The sequence below is a fragment of the Homo sapiens genome, chromosome 3 (genome assembly GCF_000001405.40).
Source record: "Homo sapiens chromosome 3, GRCh38.p14 Primary Assembly".
Taxonomy (NCBI): Eukaryota; Metazoa; Chordata; class Mammalia; order Primates; family Hominidae; genus Homo; species Homo sapiens.
The window spans coordinates 160,746,001-160,761,363 of NC_000003.12; the positions used below are offsets into that span (position 1 = coordinate 160,746,001).

Below are 15,363 nucleotides of genomic sequence, written 5' to 3' on the forward strand. Positions count from 1 at the left end.
ACTGTGGATTGTAAGAAGGGAAAACTGACTACAGAGAAATAAATGGGAAGGCTATAGCAGTGTCCTAGGTGGGAAGTGATGGTCAATTGGATGAGAGCTATCATAACAAAGGTAGAAAGCAGTGCACATATTAGTGCTCACATATTGGCTTTATTGGTGGTAAAATCAACAGGGTTTGATGATTTGTTTATGGGGAATGAGGAAGATGGAGAAATGAAGAGTAACTTAGGTTTCTGGCTAGTGCAAATGGAGATGGGTGGTGCCATTTTCAGAGAGAGAGAGAGAGAGAGAGAGAACACTGGAGGGGGCCAACAGCTTGATTTCGAATGTGTTGACCTTGAAATTAGTTTAGCAGAAATGTTAATTATTTGGATGCAGAAGAGGAGAGGTCTGACTACAAAAATGTATTTAGGAGTTTATTAAGATTGTAACTGATTTTTTTCTTGGGCACAGATGGGAAGTTCTAGGGTGATAATAAAGTGAGAGAAAAGGGCTTTCAGTGAAATTTGGAAAAAATTCAAAATTTACTAAGGCATGCTTTCTTTTTCCTTCTTTTTGTATGTCCTTTTAATATTTTTACTTTAAAATTAAAATTGTTTTTTGTTCTCATAGTTGAGCTAATTTTTTTCAGAAAATTTCTGATTTTCTCTTATTTCTATAATGTCACATTCTCCCCACCCGCTGAATATTTTTCTCCTTGAGGTGAGCTAATTCAAAATTAGGCCACTCATTTTTTGGGTTATTACAGATAGTTCAGTAAATTATCTTTGGTTCTAAATTATTTGCTTAGGTTTGATTCCATCAGTTCAAATAAAACAAATCAGTAAATTAACCTGCAAGGTAAGCAAAGAAGAATGTTCCATTGCCCATCCATAGGCTTTTTTACATATTGCATTGCTTCAGAGATTTTGTTCTTCTCTAAATAGACATTGTGAGAGACATTAAATCAGGATGAGCCATCACAGTGTCTATCATCAGACTACATAGATGATAAGAACTCGGTATGAACAAATGCATTATCAGGCACAAAGAGAGCAGAGGAAATGAGATGAGAAGACCAAAGGAATAGCTGAAAAAAAATAAAGACTTTTGTCTACAGGATAATTGCATTTATTTTATTTTATTTGAAACAGAAGACTTCCTTCAGTAGCAAAAACTGCTCTGTGGTTAAAAAAAAAATTGGCAAGGAGATGTTTTTCCAGCAAGCCCTTAGCTTGCTTAGCTTGCAAGAAAAACAAAACAAAACAGATGACTGGAAGGGAGACCTGAATAAAAGGATAAAATCCATAAGGATAAAAGCGATGTGGATAGAAAACAAGTGAAAACTAGATTCTATCTCAGAAAAATATGCTTTTCTGTTACCTAGAATCTCTTCCCTCCCTCTCTCTCTGCCCCCCGCCCCCAGACAAACTGAAAACAAAAGTGGAAAGAGAGATGTAGATTAGTTGTAAGAAATACTTTCTTGTAGAAAAAAGGTGTTAAACATTGTATGTATTAGGCTAATAAAGGAAAGTCCCCAATTCCTTTCTTTAGTTGTTCTTAAAAGAAAAAGGCAATTTTGTTTGTCTTTCCCTGAAATATGGCTGCATTCCAGTAGACCAAGGAGGTTGTATAAGATAAAAAACCAATCAAACAAAAATGACTAGTCATTCTTCACTATTAGGTCTCTGACGTTATAAAAAATAGTAATAACAATAAATACTTTCCTTCTCCCCTCACTTAACTGAGCATTCATTTTCTTGACTTCTAGTAGATCTTTTCTTTCTTTCTAGTAGATCTACTGAAAAAAAATTATAAAAAGTAGTAATTGATTAATGCCACAGCATAATCTCAGGATGTGAGTGAAATGAAAGTCATCTGAGAACATTTAGAATGAGAAACTACATAGGCAAACAGATTAACTAGACCTGTGCTGGTGATGATTCTGATGTTTCCTTGGGATGTTGCAAGAAAGAAACAAACAAGCAGATGTCAAGAACACATGTTACGTGAGGGTTTGGTGCAGAAAACAAAAACAAAAACACATTAGGTTCTTGAAGAAGAAAGTTATTTAATACAGGGAATTAGGCACTCACAATAGCATTGCAAGGCTCTAAGCAGTTGAAATCAGGGGCTGTCATTAGGCAATGGCTCAATTTCCACAAAACTGGAGACTAGAAAGGGGAACCTGGCTGGGTGCTGTGGCTCATGCCTATAATCCCAGCACTTTGGGAGACCAAGGCAGGTGAATTGCTTGAGCCCAGAGTTTGAGATGAGCCTGGGTAACACCTGTGCCTGGGGAGGTTGAGGCTGCAGTAATCGGGTCACTGCACTCCAGCCTGGGTGACAGAATGAGACACCATTTCAAAAAATTTTAAAAACAATAAATACATAACTAAAAGGAAAGAGAACCTGATTTGGCCACTCAAACACTCAGTTTACCAGAGCTTGGCCAGCAGCCAGCAGAGCTGTAGGAAAAATAGTTTCTGTCTCTTCTCTGCATTCCAAATCTCACACAAGGTCATCTCATCAGTAAAACCTAAATTACAGTAAAAATTCCAGCTGGAAGGGATTCTGGAAAACGTAGTTTTTGTTCTTTAATTTTCATGATTGGAAGGGAGGGAATTTAGATGGAGGTAGAAATGGATGTTGAGATTCAATAGACAATATCTAGAACACACATATTCCTCCAGCAGAAGAGTGTTGCCAGTCTGTTGTTAAACATAGGCACTATGAAAATTAAATTATGTAATTTGTAATTAAGTAAACTATATTAAAGACAAAGGTAATAAATATTAATCACCTCTTATTTTACATTTTGATACTACTTATGTTCTTGATGTTATTTACATCTATCATGTCCATTTGATGGCAATATTGTATAATAGTGGGCTACTGAGCAACTATTTCCAGCTTCGTGGTCAGTGGTACAGTTTGAAATCAACCATGGTGAGAGGATTTCTACCATGGAAATTGGCAAACACAGCAGAGCTGAGTCTTTACCTCCTCTTCCTAGAGGTCAGGTGGTTAAACATTTACTTGCACAACACTGGTTAAATGTATTAGAGGAGTTGTATAAGAAGAAGAAAAATAAGGCAATTAAGAAGTTGTTTTCAGGTAGCTAGGAATAGGAGGGTCACAATGGGAATAATAGTTCATGATCAAGAAAAAGACTGGGAAATAGAAAGTTACTGGTAATTAGAATTTAGGGCAGTAAGTGTTTGTTATACTTGACCTTGACTAATGCCTGTCACTTAAAGCTTTAGCAATTACAGTATATTTAGTCTCAGGAGCAGGATTGAAGATATCTGGTCAACCTCTGACAGCTCCAAGGCTACATGATTGAAAGAGTCTTCTCCATATGTAGGATAGGCATGAGGAGTTTGTGGTAATTAAAATCCTTTACAATTATGATATCATTTGGGAACTATTTATTGAAGTATAACAGTTTGGGAGGGAGCCATGTGTGTTTTGAGTAGATGGAGAGAGGCGAGGAGCCTTTTAAGGAGTTCCTCATCAGCACAGGTATGGCTGGGGAAAATAGATTGAACAGCGACTTTGCAAGCAATGCCCTGGTGAATTTGGGTTATGGCTACAATGTAAGAAGCCATCATAGGCTACTTGGGCTCAGGTAGCAATGAATGAATGTTGGAGGTTACTAAGGCACCATAAGATCTAGGAAAGAGGAACTCTTTTGAAAGTGCCATGGAAGTGGGACATATGTCTTAGTTTTACCTGTTTGTAACCTTAGATCACGTAATTTTATTTTGGGGCATAACAACATTTACCTCAAGTATCATATATAGAAATCAACTCTAAAGTTAAATCCTGTGTGACTAAAGATTTTCTGCAGTCCTATCAAGCAAGCATCTTAAGAGGTAAAAAACAGAAAGGTTTTGTGAATACTTTTACATATTAAAACTACTCAGTTTCCGAAATTTAGTGTTTCTAACAGTGCACCCAACATAAAACAAATGTTTTCAATGGGAACCATTTGGGGAACATAGAAAAACTGGAGGGAATACAAATTATTCTCAGGGTGCTCAGAGAAGCCATCAGAAAAATTTGGGTATAAGAATGGGATATTAACATTAATTTACCTTGATATAATACAAATGGACATCAAGCTTGAATTAACACCAACAATTCTCAAGGGCTCAATTCTCACTGTTCTGTTGGGCTATGAAACAGAGTTAGTTGTGTTCCTGAGGCAATTTTTCTTCTTTCTGAATTGCACTAAAGAAAAAAAAAAAAAAAAAAAGCCCCTACCTCCTATGGAAAGAAACAAAATTTTATCTTTCCACTTGTATTATTTCTTACATCCACTGCAAAAGAATTGTTCAATTATTCACAATGCTTCATGTTATAAATTAGCTAGAATATTGATGTGTGTCAATTGGTATACAAAAATTTAGGAAATGCTTTAGATTAACATTAAAATTTAGGAACCTTGTTTGAAGATTATCAGAGAAAAGCCTAGGGGAATCAGATGACGGATTCTTAGGCTATGTATGGTTTGTGTATACAGAGTTAATGCAATGATATAAAAGTTTTATTCAGAAAAAAACTATCTTCGATATATCTCTGTAATTAATACAAAAACTTGGGTATTAGAAACATTCTTGTGTTTTTGGAGTCCAGTGAAATAAAATCATATTCCACCCCAAAATAATTGGTGTCTGTCATGTGAGTTCTTTGTTTGATAGAACCCCAGAGATATTAATGTAAATCTAAATTGATATACTATTATACTTAAAGTGATGAATTTTTTTCTTAGCTATACTACTAAAACATTCATTTTTCACTTGAAGGTCATTGACATTTTTTATTTTTATGTAGTTATTTTAAAACATTTTTACTGATATGTGGACAGGCATTTAAAACAAGATTTAGTATTAAATTTTGCATCTAGAAAGGTTTTATGAAAAGAATTGAAGACTTAATATGGTTTAATAGACATGATCATGGATAACTATTTACTAAAGGACCAAATTGAAAACTACTTTAAAACATAATTTAGATGATCCTTTTCATTAAGGAGCTTTGATTACATTGTTGGTTAGACTGCAAAAGGGAACAACACATTTTCAAAAACAATTTGGCCTTAAGTTGTAAAGTCGAACATTTTCATTCTCTATGATTAAGTAATTTCACTTCTAGGTATCTACCTAGAGAAACTTTTGCATATGTGCACGAAGAGATAATACAAGAGTAATTCAAGAAATTATTGATCCTAATAGTAAAAACTTGGAAATTTGAACATCCACAGAAGATGAATACATAACTTATGGAACAGTCACACAATGGAGTATTACATAGCTGTAAAATGACTGATTTACAGCTATATGTAACAATATATAGCTATATGCAACAACATAGGAGGATCTAGAAACTTAATAGTGAGAGAAAAAAAACAAGTACCAGAGGACTATATACAGTAAGATACCATTTTTTGTAAGGCTCAAAACCAAAACAAAACTAAAAAATGTATTACTTAGGGATGCAGACATATATGATACAGTTATTTTTTAAAAGGGCAAGGCAGGAGGCTGAGGTGGGTGGGTTGTTTGAGCTCAGGAGTTCGAGAACAGGCTGGGCAACATGGCAAAACCCCATCTCTACAAAAAATACAAAAATTAGCCAGGTGTGGTGGCATGTGCCTATAGTCCCAGCTACTTGGAAGACTGAGGTGGGAGGATTGCCTGAGCCAAGATCGCATTAAAAAAAAAAAAAAGGCAAGGGGATAGTAAAACATAAAATTCAGGATAGTAGGCTACCTGTGGAGAGGACAGGCATGGAGGTGGGATAGGGGAAGAACTAGGTTGGTATGAAGATATTGGTAACACTCTAGTTTTTTGGTTGGGTGTTCTGTGTTCATGCATGGTTGTTGTATTTCATAACAATACTTGCATGCTCTTTTATATGTGTCCTTTAAAAGGTTATACATACATAGGTATATATTAATAGAATGTCAGTAAGAGAGTCCTACTTAATACCTACTACATATTTGCATACAGATGGCAGGAACAATTTAAGAATATAAATCAAAGTGACAACTGAGAAATTTAAAACTGTGCAGAGAATTTCTATGTGTATAAAAGTTTCATATAAAATTTACTTGAAAGGATTTTAAAAATCATATTTATCATTCAGAGTCTCAGCAGATAAGTCACTTTACATTTTGTTTTTATGAGACGGGGTCTCATTCTGTCACCCAGGCTGGAGTGCAGTGGTGCAATCACAGCTCACTGCACTGTCCGCCTCCCGGGTTTAGATGATCTTCCCAGCTCAGCTTCCTGGGTAGCTGGGACTACAAGCACATGCCACCATTCCTGGCTAATTTCTTGTATTTTTAGTAGAGACAGGGTTTCACCTGTTGTTCAGGCTGGTCTCAAACTCCTGGGCTCAAATGATCTGTCTGTCTTGGCCTCCCAAAATGTTGGGATTACAGGCATGAGCCACTTTTTATCATGTTCTATGAGGTGATAAAAAATAAAGTAGATAAGGACATCCTAAAACAACATCATACTAGAAAACAGATTTATTGGTTATCAAACTCCATTTTAAAGACTTTTTAAACCTAAGAGCTACAACTCTGAAATATTTTTGAGAATAAATTATTTTTAAAAGCTATATATTTTTTATATACTTGCAAGGCTGACATGGGTTAATTGCAAAGCAGAAAACAGTAATTGCCTGTAAACAGTTTGATCACTATTGTTATATCCCATGAAAACCTAGGATTGCCATTAATTCTCTGTTCATTACCATGTCACTTGCAATGGCAAAGTATTTGTATAATGCATATTTTTTGGTACCTCTTTCCTCTGTGAAATTTTGACACTATTTTACTTTAGCAACAGATCTCTTACCTGTTTATTAAAGAAGTACACTTGCACCTGTTTTCTGCCCCACAGGTATTCTCAATGGGTGAGGTAAATACTCATGGTGAAGTGCTTATCCCAAAGGCTAAAAACAGAATTGTGGAATAAGAATACATGCATTCTTTTTGAGATTTCTGTAACAGAAATCTGGTGAAATATTAGTGGAGAAGTGTAAAAATTAATCATCTCAGTATCACTGCACAGTAATGGATGTTAAGAGTACTGAACTGGTAATCAAAAGAACTGAGTTTGAATGTATAACCTCTTATTTGCTGAACAGTGATATTCGCTTAACATCTTTGGGCTTCGCTTTCCTCATAAACAGATAATAACTTCTATCTTCCTCAGAGGATTGTTAGGAGAATGAAAATAACATTGCCATATATGAAAAAACCTTCATAATCCTCACAAATATGCAAATATTAGTTTGTCACTAGAGGAAGGTCTTTTTTCTTTTTGTAATATATTAATATTCACAGTAAACTATAACAGAGTTTATTTAGGCATTTTTGGAAATTGCCACATAAACCACATGAAGTTTTTAGTAAGAAAATGCCTATAGGGTCTGCATGAAAAAATATTTTATTGATTTTCACGGATGAACACTTAGATGTAAATGTCAAAGCATATTTCCACCAAATCTTCAGGATATTTAGCTTTATTAATTAATTCATCAAGTCAAACCTTGCTATGAAACCTCCAGGGAGATCATCAGTATGGTAATCTCTCTTCTTAGTTATGGGGGAAGCAGAAGTCATGTCTCTCATGAGTGTCTGTTCTGCTCTCATCAATATAGGAATGTAGTGGACAGACTGGATGGGCCTTTGGGTTTGGAATTTTACTGCTACTCCAGGGCCTAGTTTGATTTGTAGTTCTGGAATCTTTATCAGCTTATCTGCAAGTTGCCTTTGCCACAGTGAAACGAATCCATGTACAGAAAGACTGACAATGCACCCAAAAGTGATTTGATAATTTACAGTAAGAAATATTGTAAACTTATCTTCAAAATAATACTAATGCATTACTTTTCTTTATAGTTCCCGAAGGCTTTTAAATTCATTATCTCATTTTGGAACCTCTTGGCTATTGAACAGGATGACTGAATTTATTTTAAACTGTTTCTCTATTTATCAGATGAAAATACCTGAAAGGTAAAGCAGGACAGGAGACTATATCCTAGTTGTGAAAAATAACATACTGTTAGCAGTTCTTCATATCTCCTTCCTGTCTTTTGTATGCATGTTTATACTATTGAGATTATATTGTATGTGCCATTTAAATGCTTACGTTTTCATTTTTTCTGCTTATGGTGGAAATATATGGCCTTTGTAGAAACTTTAGAAAAGTTGTGGAAAATAGACAAAAGTCTAAAGCAGAAAATGAAAGCTGCATATAATCTACTACTGTACGCATGATTAACCACTGGGAACATTTTAGTGTATTTCCTTCCAGGACTTCTTATTATTTTGTATTTTTAGAAAAGGAATGGGGATCACACCAAGGCAGAAGTGCTTGCTGGGGGACAGACACTGGCTTGGCTGGGATCAAGTAGCCTCTTTCTGCTCTCCAGCCCAGCGGACTGGAAGCAGCAGATCAGCACTCTTCTTCCTGGACAGGGGTAATGAGAATGAGTATTTTCCTTTAAAGCTCACTTGTTTCCGTATTCTAAGCGGACGCGAACATTGTTCTTTTCTCGTGCTTTCCCACTTTCAAGACCCACCAACACCTGCCTGCCCACATTTCGAGTTATCTTCGTCGGCTCCTGCAAGCCCGCACTCTTCTCCGCGGTGGCTACTCTCCGCTCATCCAGACTCCCGCCCTCACTGCGCCTTCTTCCTGCGATGACCGAGGAGGTGGTGGGAGACCACCACTTGCGAGCTTCCAAAGGACTTTCAAACCTGAACCGCAGAGTCAGAGCCCTCGCGCCGTAGAAAAGTCAGGAGCGCCCCGGGGCCCCCATCGGAAGCTTCGTGCCTTCCCGTGGAAAGGTCGCGAGCAGGGAAGGCCTTCGTGGCCACTGAGTCCCCTACTCCAGGGGCGGCGGCCGCTCTCCGAAAGAGCGGCCCTTCTCGTCCCTCCCGAGGTTATCGTCAGAGTGCACTTCCTTGGGGAAACAGAGGTCATTCTGTCGAGTCCCCCCTTTCTGCTGTTCTCGGGAGGGAGAAGGCTGCTGGACCCAGGCTCGCTCCCCGCCTCTCGGGAGATCCGGGAAGGCCTCTATTGCTGAACGCCGAGACAGCGGCCAGCGGCCCGATCGTCTCCCTACCGCTTTGCAAGCCGGGAGAAGTGCGTCCCTTCTCGCTTGCCTTATGGCTGGCGAAGCGGGGACCGCACTATAGTGCAGCCGCCGAAGGGGGGAACGCTCACGTATGGCTCTCGGCTTCCCAGTGAGCAGCAATAGTTCCTGGAAAACCAACGCTAAGACTACCGGGGTCAGTATTAGCTTGTCTTAGGAGCCGGCACAGGGGGAAGGAACAACGATTCGCAAGAGCTAGGCAGCGGACCTCCCTCTTTTCTCCCCCTTGGCTGTCCTGGACCGCATGGGGCTGCGAGCCCGCACCGGCGGCCGCGGAACTTGCTCAGCCTCTGACAGCTGGGTGGGAACACCTCGGGGTGTCGAGTCCCGACTCAAGGGGCGGGACGGGGCGGGGCGAGCGCGCGGGGGGCGGAGCGCGCGCGAGCCGGGACGCGAGGAGGGAGCGCGCGAGTGAAGCCGAGCTGAGCCGAGCCGATCCGAGCCGGGAGGTGCCTGGGAGAGGCAGGCAGAGCCCAGCCGGCCGCCTGCGGCTCAGTACCGACCGTGCCGCGTCGCCGGGCTCTGCGTACCCCTGTCTCTGCCCAGGCTCCCGCAAAACTTTTATTCTCTGGGGCCCCCGGGGTGTGTGAAGGAATTGGAACCTTCCGCCATCTCCGCGCTCCCCTTCGGCGGCGACCGAGGGGACCTGCGTCCCTCGTCCGCCGGGCTCTGGAGCCCTGCGCCTCACCTGCTGATCGCTCTCCGGAGTCTCGAGGGGGCACCCCCGGAGGGACCGCGCGGGCGCCGGCGCCCCTGAACTCTCCCGCTCACCGCGGCAGACCCGCCCAGCGCAACTTTAACTTGATTCTTCTTGCCCAACCGGGGCACCAGCGGCTGCTGCTGCGGCGGCTGCTGCTACCGCCGCCGCCGCGGTCTCACAAAGGGGCTCAGGGAAGGGAGGCGGCGCGGGCGGCAGGGACGGGCCTCCGGGCCGCCGAGGCGGGGAGACAAAAGGGAAGCTGCCTCTGCTCGCGCTGCCTGCTCGGAGCCGCTTGCTCGGCTGCCTCTGGCTGGGCTCCGCGATCCTCTCCCCCACCCTCGGGCACTGCTCCGCCTCCCTCCCGGCGGGCTGTCCCCGCAGTGCTCCCGGACCCGGCGAGCCTTCGGGGCGCGCGTCGCTGGTGGTGGTTGAGGCTCTAGCGATAATAAATGATAGAGGATACAATGACTTTGCTGTCTCTGCTGGGTCGCATCATGCGCTACTTCTTGCTGAGACCCGAGACGCTTTTCCTGCTGTGCATCAGCTTGGCTCTATGGAGTTACTTCTTCCACACCGACGAGGTGAAGACCATCGTGAAGTCCAGCCGGGACGCCGTGAAGATGGTGAAGGGCAAGGTAGCCGAGATCATGCAGAACGATCGACTCGGGGGGCTTGATGTGCTCGAGGCCGAGTTTTCCAAGACCTGGGAGTTCAAGAACCACAACGTGGCGGTGTACTCCATCCAGGGCCGGAGAGACCACATGGAGGACCGCTTCGAAGTTCTCACGGATCTGGCCAACAAGACGCACCCGTCCATCTTCGGGATCTTCGACGGGCACGGGGGAGAGGTAGGAGCTACCCCGGGGCTTTGTATTTGTGTCCGTGTATGTCTCGTGTGTGTGTGTGTGTGTGTGTGTGTGTGTGTGTGTGTATAAACAACAGGACAGCGTGTGCGCAGCGGGAGAGGATCTGGGTGCGAGGGGCGTGGTGATGACACCACGGTGCCTGGCTGGACAAATGCGGCTCAAGTTGCCAAAAGCACTGCTGGATCCAGACTTCTTGGTGCTGAGGGTCCACTTTAGGGAAAGGAGAGTCATCCACAGCATATTTGTTGCTACTTAATGTGAGGTTCCCAAGGCCGGAACCCAGAAAACACTGTGCTAGTTTAGCAAGGAGAATTAATGGTATCTCCAGTGAACTTTGGTCCCAGACCCCAGTGCCCTTGTTCTAGGGTTTGAGCTGAACTAGGCACAGAGAAGGAAGACAATATCTTATGCTTCATTAGGCAAACAGGCTATATCTGCAGAGCGAGCTCATTGAGGGTGAAGGAAGCTGTGACTCCTTCCCATCGCCTTCACTCTAGGGAGGAATCCGAGGGGCAGCTCTGCGCTTCTTTCCAACTCTATCAACTTTACAAGTGCAATCGGGCCAATTGACAGGAGCGCCTCGCTGGCCGCTTGTTTTCACTAGGATCTCAGAGCGGGACCTAGATGTCCCTGGCCTTTGCAGAGGTGGCTATGCCCGCAAAGGAGGCGGTGCTTTGACCTCACCCTTGCGCCCTGGCGGGCTTAGGGGTGCAGACGTCGTCCTGCTTCTAGATTCCTTTGTTTGTGGTTCATCTGGAAGCAGGAGATAGCTAGAGGCCAGTTCAGTTCCCTCTCCCACATTTCTGTGGCACCCGGGTTGTGCGCTGAGGCCCAGGTTTCCTGGAGGTTAGGCAAAGCTTGGCTCTGGTCCTTGCGCATTGGCCCAGGCAAAGTGAGAGGCAAATGTGGCTCTAGCGCCATGCTCCAAAGAACACTGGGCCAATCACCCCATCTCTCAAATTGGCGGTTTGTAACGGGTTCATTGCTGCATACTCTTTGTTTTCCCTTTTGGCAGCATACTTTTCTTATTCTTAACCCCTTCCTGTTTTTGATTACACCCCTCCCCCGAACTCCCATACAAGTTTTCCCCCAACTTTCTTCTCTGCCCTCTGATCTCTGGGTAGGCTGTAGGGAACTGCAGGGACTGCCATTCTTTTTCAAGCATTTGCTTGTTCTTTGGCCTTTGTTTTGGGTAAACATTGAGAAAGCTTTCAACTGGATATCTTATCCGCATTCCTTACCCATCACTCTGCTAATCTTTTCATGCTACTGTGCCTACCTACCTTGTAGAACCAACTTTGCCAAGAATGACAAACTTAGTAGAAAAACTCATTTGGTAGAACTGAAATCAGTTTTTGCCATTTTCCATCCACTCTAGCTTTTTTTATATTGTTTTTTCAGAATGCAGGTTTCTCACTGGTTGTAAATTTGTAACCTCTTGGGTAGTGTCGGGGTCCCCTCCCCTTGGTCACAGAGTAAGTGAAAGATATAAAATTAATTGAGGGAAAAAAGGCTGTGTACATGGGCAAAAACATATCTTAATGACAAAGTTGCCAGTATAATGGCTGATTTGTCTTCTTGGCTTGAAGCAGACTATCTGTATTTTCATTTTTTTGTGCCTAAATTCAATGAGGGTGAAGGAAGCTGTGATTCCTTCCTTTGTAAATCATTTAACAAGCTTATATTTATTATATATTTTTATATTAAAATTGGTGGCTGGTGATAATCTGCTTCTGGTCTTAGAAAGCACAGTTTTAATTTTATTAAAGATTTGGTTGTAATAGTAATGTGGTGAAATTTTGGGTTGTGGTTGTCTGGGTGTGATGCATTGGCATAGTTTCAGCCTTGGGCTAAAAAGGTGTAAGTGATTGGGTGATTTAATTTTTTTTTCTTTTAAGTTGATACTGTAAAACCTGAAAGTTGCAGACCAAAACACTTTTCAGGTTGAAAAATTTCTAGTAGTATCTTGTGGTAAATGTACCATCCAGAAAAGGGACACGATAAATGCTTTTATTTTACTAAAAGTATTTTACACGTACATGGCTTGTCATTAAATTTTTTAACTGCAAATGAAAAGATGATAATCTTTAGCCAAACCATGAAATACTTTTCTTTGTGCCTTACATTAAAAAGCATGCTGTTTGCAAAATAATTGATATTATCAGTACTCTGAAAAATAGAGTATTTGTTCTGTTCATAATCCCTTATCGTATGTAGCCAGTTAGTTCATTTTGGCTTTGTTTTAGGGCAAAATAAGGAAAGTGCTACAAAAGGAGTTACTTAATTGCTATTGGGAGTATAACAGTGACAAATAATATTAGATAATTTCTCTTGCTTTTTCTTTATATATCATTCAAAATCCTACCATCTAATTCTTGTGTGTTGTTTAGCTCCTTTAACATTCACCAGAGGAGGGTGCCACTGTTTGATTTTAGTATAGATGATGTTAGCTCCTGTCACAGAAGAGGAAGCTTTTTCTGAACTTTCTATTATTTATGTATATTCTAGCTCTAGAATGGTGCAGACGATAAATGAGGAGTTTAATTTTATTTCTAATAACTCACACTAGTAAGATAGACCATCAAAAACTAGGGCCCGTCTGTAATTGTAGTACTCTTTAGATGCAGAGGAGACATTACCTTGTATATCCTTGTACATCCATTTCATCTGTGTATATCAATTTCATCCCTCACCCTTTTTTTTTCTTTTAAGCTGAGATGCTGATAGCTGGAGAAGTTGTGACCTTCCTAAGGCTATGTGGCTAGTTCAAGGCCTTCAGTTTGTTGATCTCTATATGAAACCACTGGACAAATTGGCTTGAATATTTACCTAGATAGATGGTGCCCTGGGGATACAAGGGTGAATGAAATATAACCCCTATCCTCAAAAAGTTTCAGTCTAGTGAGAGAGATAGACCTCTACACCAAAAATTATAGTCATGGTGCGCTTAGAGTGTTACGGTGACACAGAGGAGGGACATTTAAATCAGACTGGTAGGTAGGAAGGCCCAGGAAAAAACGCCTTGAAGGTATTGTTTACTTCAAGATTAGCAGCATAGGTTTTGACTTGAGATCTGGCTTTGAATCTGTGCTCTGCTTTATTCTAGCTGCGACATTGGACAAGTTGCTGAAACAGCTTTATCTGGGAGTTTATTATCTAAAAAATAGGGATAATAATGCCTGTAAGGTGCACCTTCATCAGTTGTATTATACCCTGTCTAGAGAAGTACCTAAAGGAGAGAAGGATATGGAAGAGGAAAGGCCAAGAAGACCAAGAAGTCTGCAGTGCTGGGGCAGCACTATTCAAGGGAGAGAGACTCTTCCTGTGTGAGCCACAACTTTTATCTCTATGAAGATGTATGTAGTGCAGGGATAATTTATTAGCTATCCCCCAAACTCTCTATATCTCAAGGTTCTAACTTTCAGTGGACTCCTGATTACTAATTCAGGATTTCAGTTATCCAGATATTTGAGAAAAGTGTGTCATGGCTTTAGGTGTAAATTTTCTTACTAGTCAAAAGGAATATTCTCTATGATTAATTAAGAAATTGGTATTCTGATTTGTACTTCAGCCTCTTATGATTTGGGTTACCATGAGTTAGTTCTCTTGAGCATATTTAACTGTGAATTCTTCGGCAAAGATATGTCTCTGGACTTTTTATGCTGAGGACCAGACTCTCTAGGGCTGTGGCTTCTTCTAGATGGATGAGATTTTAAAGAGCCTTATCTCAGTGGTCCTACAGGCCAGCTTCCTCCCTTGATTCTAACCATGATACTGTGTGTGGATGGTTCACAGTGTGTGTATGTGTCTAAAGGTATGGCAGTGATTGTCTTCTTATATAACAAGATTAAAACAACAAAAAGGTAAAAAGGAGCTCGTTATATAAATTGATGTAGAAAGATTATTTTAAGATAAAAATGATTTTTGTCTAGGAAAATCATTGTTTTTGTGCTTACTTGTAATTTTTATCTACAGGCAAAAGGTGGTTTTTTTTTTGTTTTTTTTTTTTAATACCATCTAGAAGAAATATCACCAAATCCTTTGGCACCTCTATCAATGTTCATGGCTGAAGCCTAGCTAGAAGAATAGATTGTTATGTGCTCCATATGTTCATGAGCACTACTCTATTAAAGGTCTTATGTATCTTGATAATTGACACACAGCTTGGCCAGTGGTTAAAGCCCAGAGTTCCACATTTTGCATGAGGGAGAAGCCATACTTCAAGCGCTTGCCAGGGACTGCAGTCTTGAGGCTCAGCACTTCTCAGAAGCTCAGAAAATAAACTCCTTATGGAGGGTTGCCTGAAGAATATATATATAGTCTTATTCTTTAGATCAGTGGTTCTTAACTTTTCTTGAGTCATGCTGCTCTTTGAGAATGTTATGAAACTACAGACATATTCCCCAGAAAAAAGGACATGCATATCAAATTTTCTTTGTAGTTTCAGAGACAAGTGGATGCATGAAGCCTCTGAATTTCAGATTAGTCTAGATAGAATAAAATCTGTTTTTGATGCATCTAGCTCTGCAAGGAACTGTGTATCTGAACCCCTTGCTTGGCCCTCCTGCTTTCCTCTCCATCATTTGCTTTTATTGAATTGTTTGCTGTCATTTGCCTGTGAGGGTTGTTTGGAGGAAT

At 41.1% G+C, this 15,363-nt stretch overlaps 1 protein-coding gene and 1 long non-coding RNA gene across 3 annotated transcripts in view, besides 6 other annotated features; one reads left to right on the forward strand and one right to left on the reverse strand.

Annotated features, from left to right (window-relative positions):
* Positions 1–4,784: 4,784 nt before the first annotated feature.
* PPM1L-DT (PPM1L divergent transcript) lies at positions 4,785–9,451 on the reverse strand. Its single transcript, NR_185913.1, has one exon. It is a non-coding gene; the product is annotated as a PPM1L divergent transcript (long non-coding RNA).
* Positions 8,728–8,827: an enhancer, noted in NCBI's record as "active region_20762". NCBI's record gives its function as "activates an Ori minimal core promoter by ATAC-STARR-seq in GM12878 lymphoblastoid cells {active_cell/tissue: GM12878}" and the evidence as "EXISTENCE:reporter gene assay evidence [ECO:0000049][PMID:35858748]".
* Positions 8,938–9,157: an enhancer, noted in NCBI's record as "active region_20763". NCBI's record gives its function as "activates an Ori minimal core promoter by ATAC-STARR-seq in GM12878 lymphoblastoid cells {active_cell/tissue: GM12878}" and the evidence as "EXISTENCE:reporter gene assay evidence [ECO:0000049][PMID:35858748]".
* Positions 9,348–9,567: a silencer, noted in NCBI's record as "silent region_14858". NCBI's record gives its function as "represses an Ori minimal core promoter by ATAC-STARR-seq in GM12878 lymphoblastoid cells {active_cell/tissue: GM12878}" and the evidence as "EXISTENCE:reporter gene assay evidence [ECO:0000049][PMID:35858748]".
* Positions 9,858–9,907: a silencer, noted in NCBI's record as "silent region_14859". NCBI's record gives its function as "represses an Ori minimal core promoter by ATAC-STARR-seq in GM12878 lymphoblastoid cells {active_cell/tissue: GM12878}" and the evidence as "EXISTENCE:reporter gene assay evidence [ECO:0000049][PMID:35858748]".
* Positions 9,938–10,097: a silencer, noted in NCBI's record as "silent region_14860". NCBI's record gives its function as "represses an Ori minimal core promoter by ATAC-STARR-seq in GM12878 lymphoblastoid cells {active_cell/tissue: GM12878}" and the evidence as "EXISTENCE:reporter gene assay evidence [ECO:0000049][PMID:35858748]".
* Positions 10,158–10,257: a silencer, noted in NCBI's record as "silent region_14861". NCBI's record gives its function as "represses an Ori minimal core promoter by ATAC-STARR-seq in GM12878 lymphoblastoid cells {active_cell/tissue: GM12878}" and the evidence as "EXISTENCE:reporter gene assay evidence [ECO:0000049][PMID:35858748]".
* PPM1L (protein phosphatase, Mg2+/Mn2+ dependent 1L) overlaps positions 10,231–15,363 on the forward strand; it is a 322,672-nt gene continuing 317,539 nt past the window's right edge. For both annotated transcript variants that reach the window (NM_139245.4, XM_011512440.4), the window contains exon 1: positions 10,231–10,707. In NM_139245.4, the coding sequence (NP_640338.2) occupies positions 10,309–10,707 (399 nt within the window). In that variant the 5' untranslated portion in view covers positions 10,231–10,308. The remainder of the gene's footprint in view (positions 10,708–15,363) is intronic.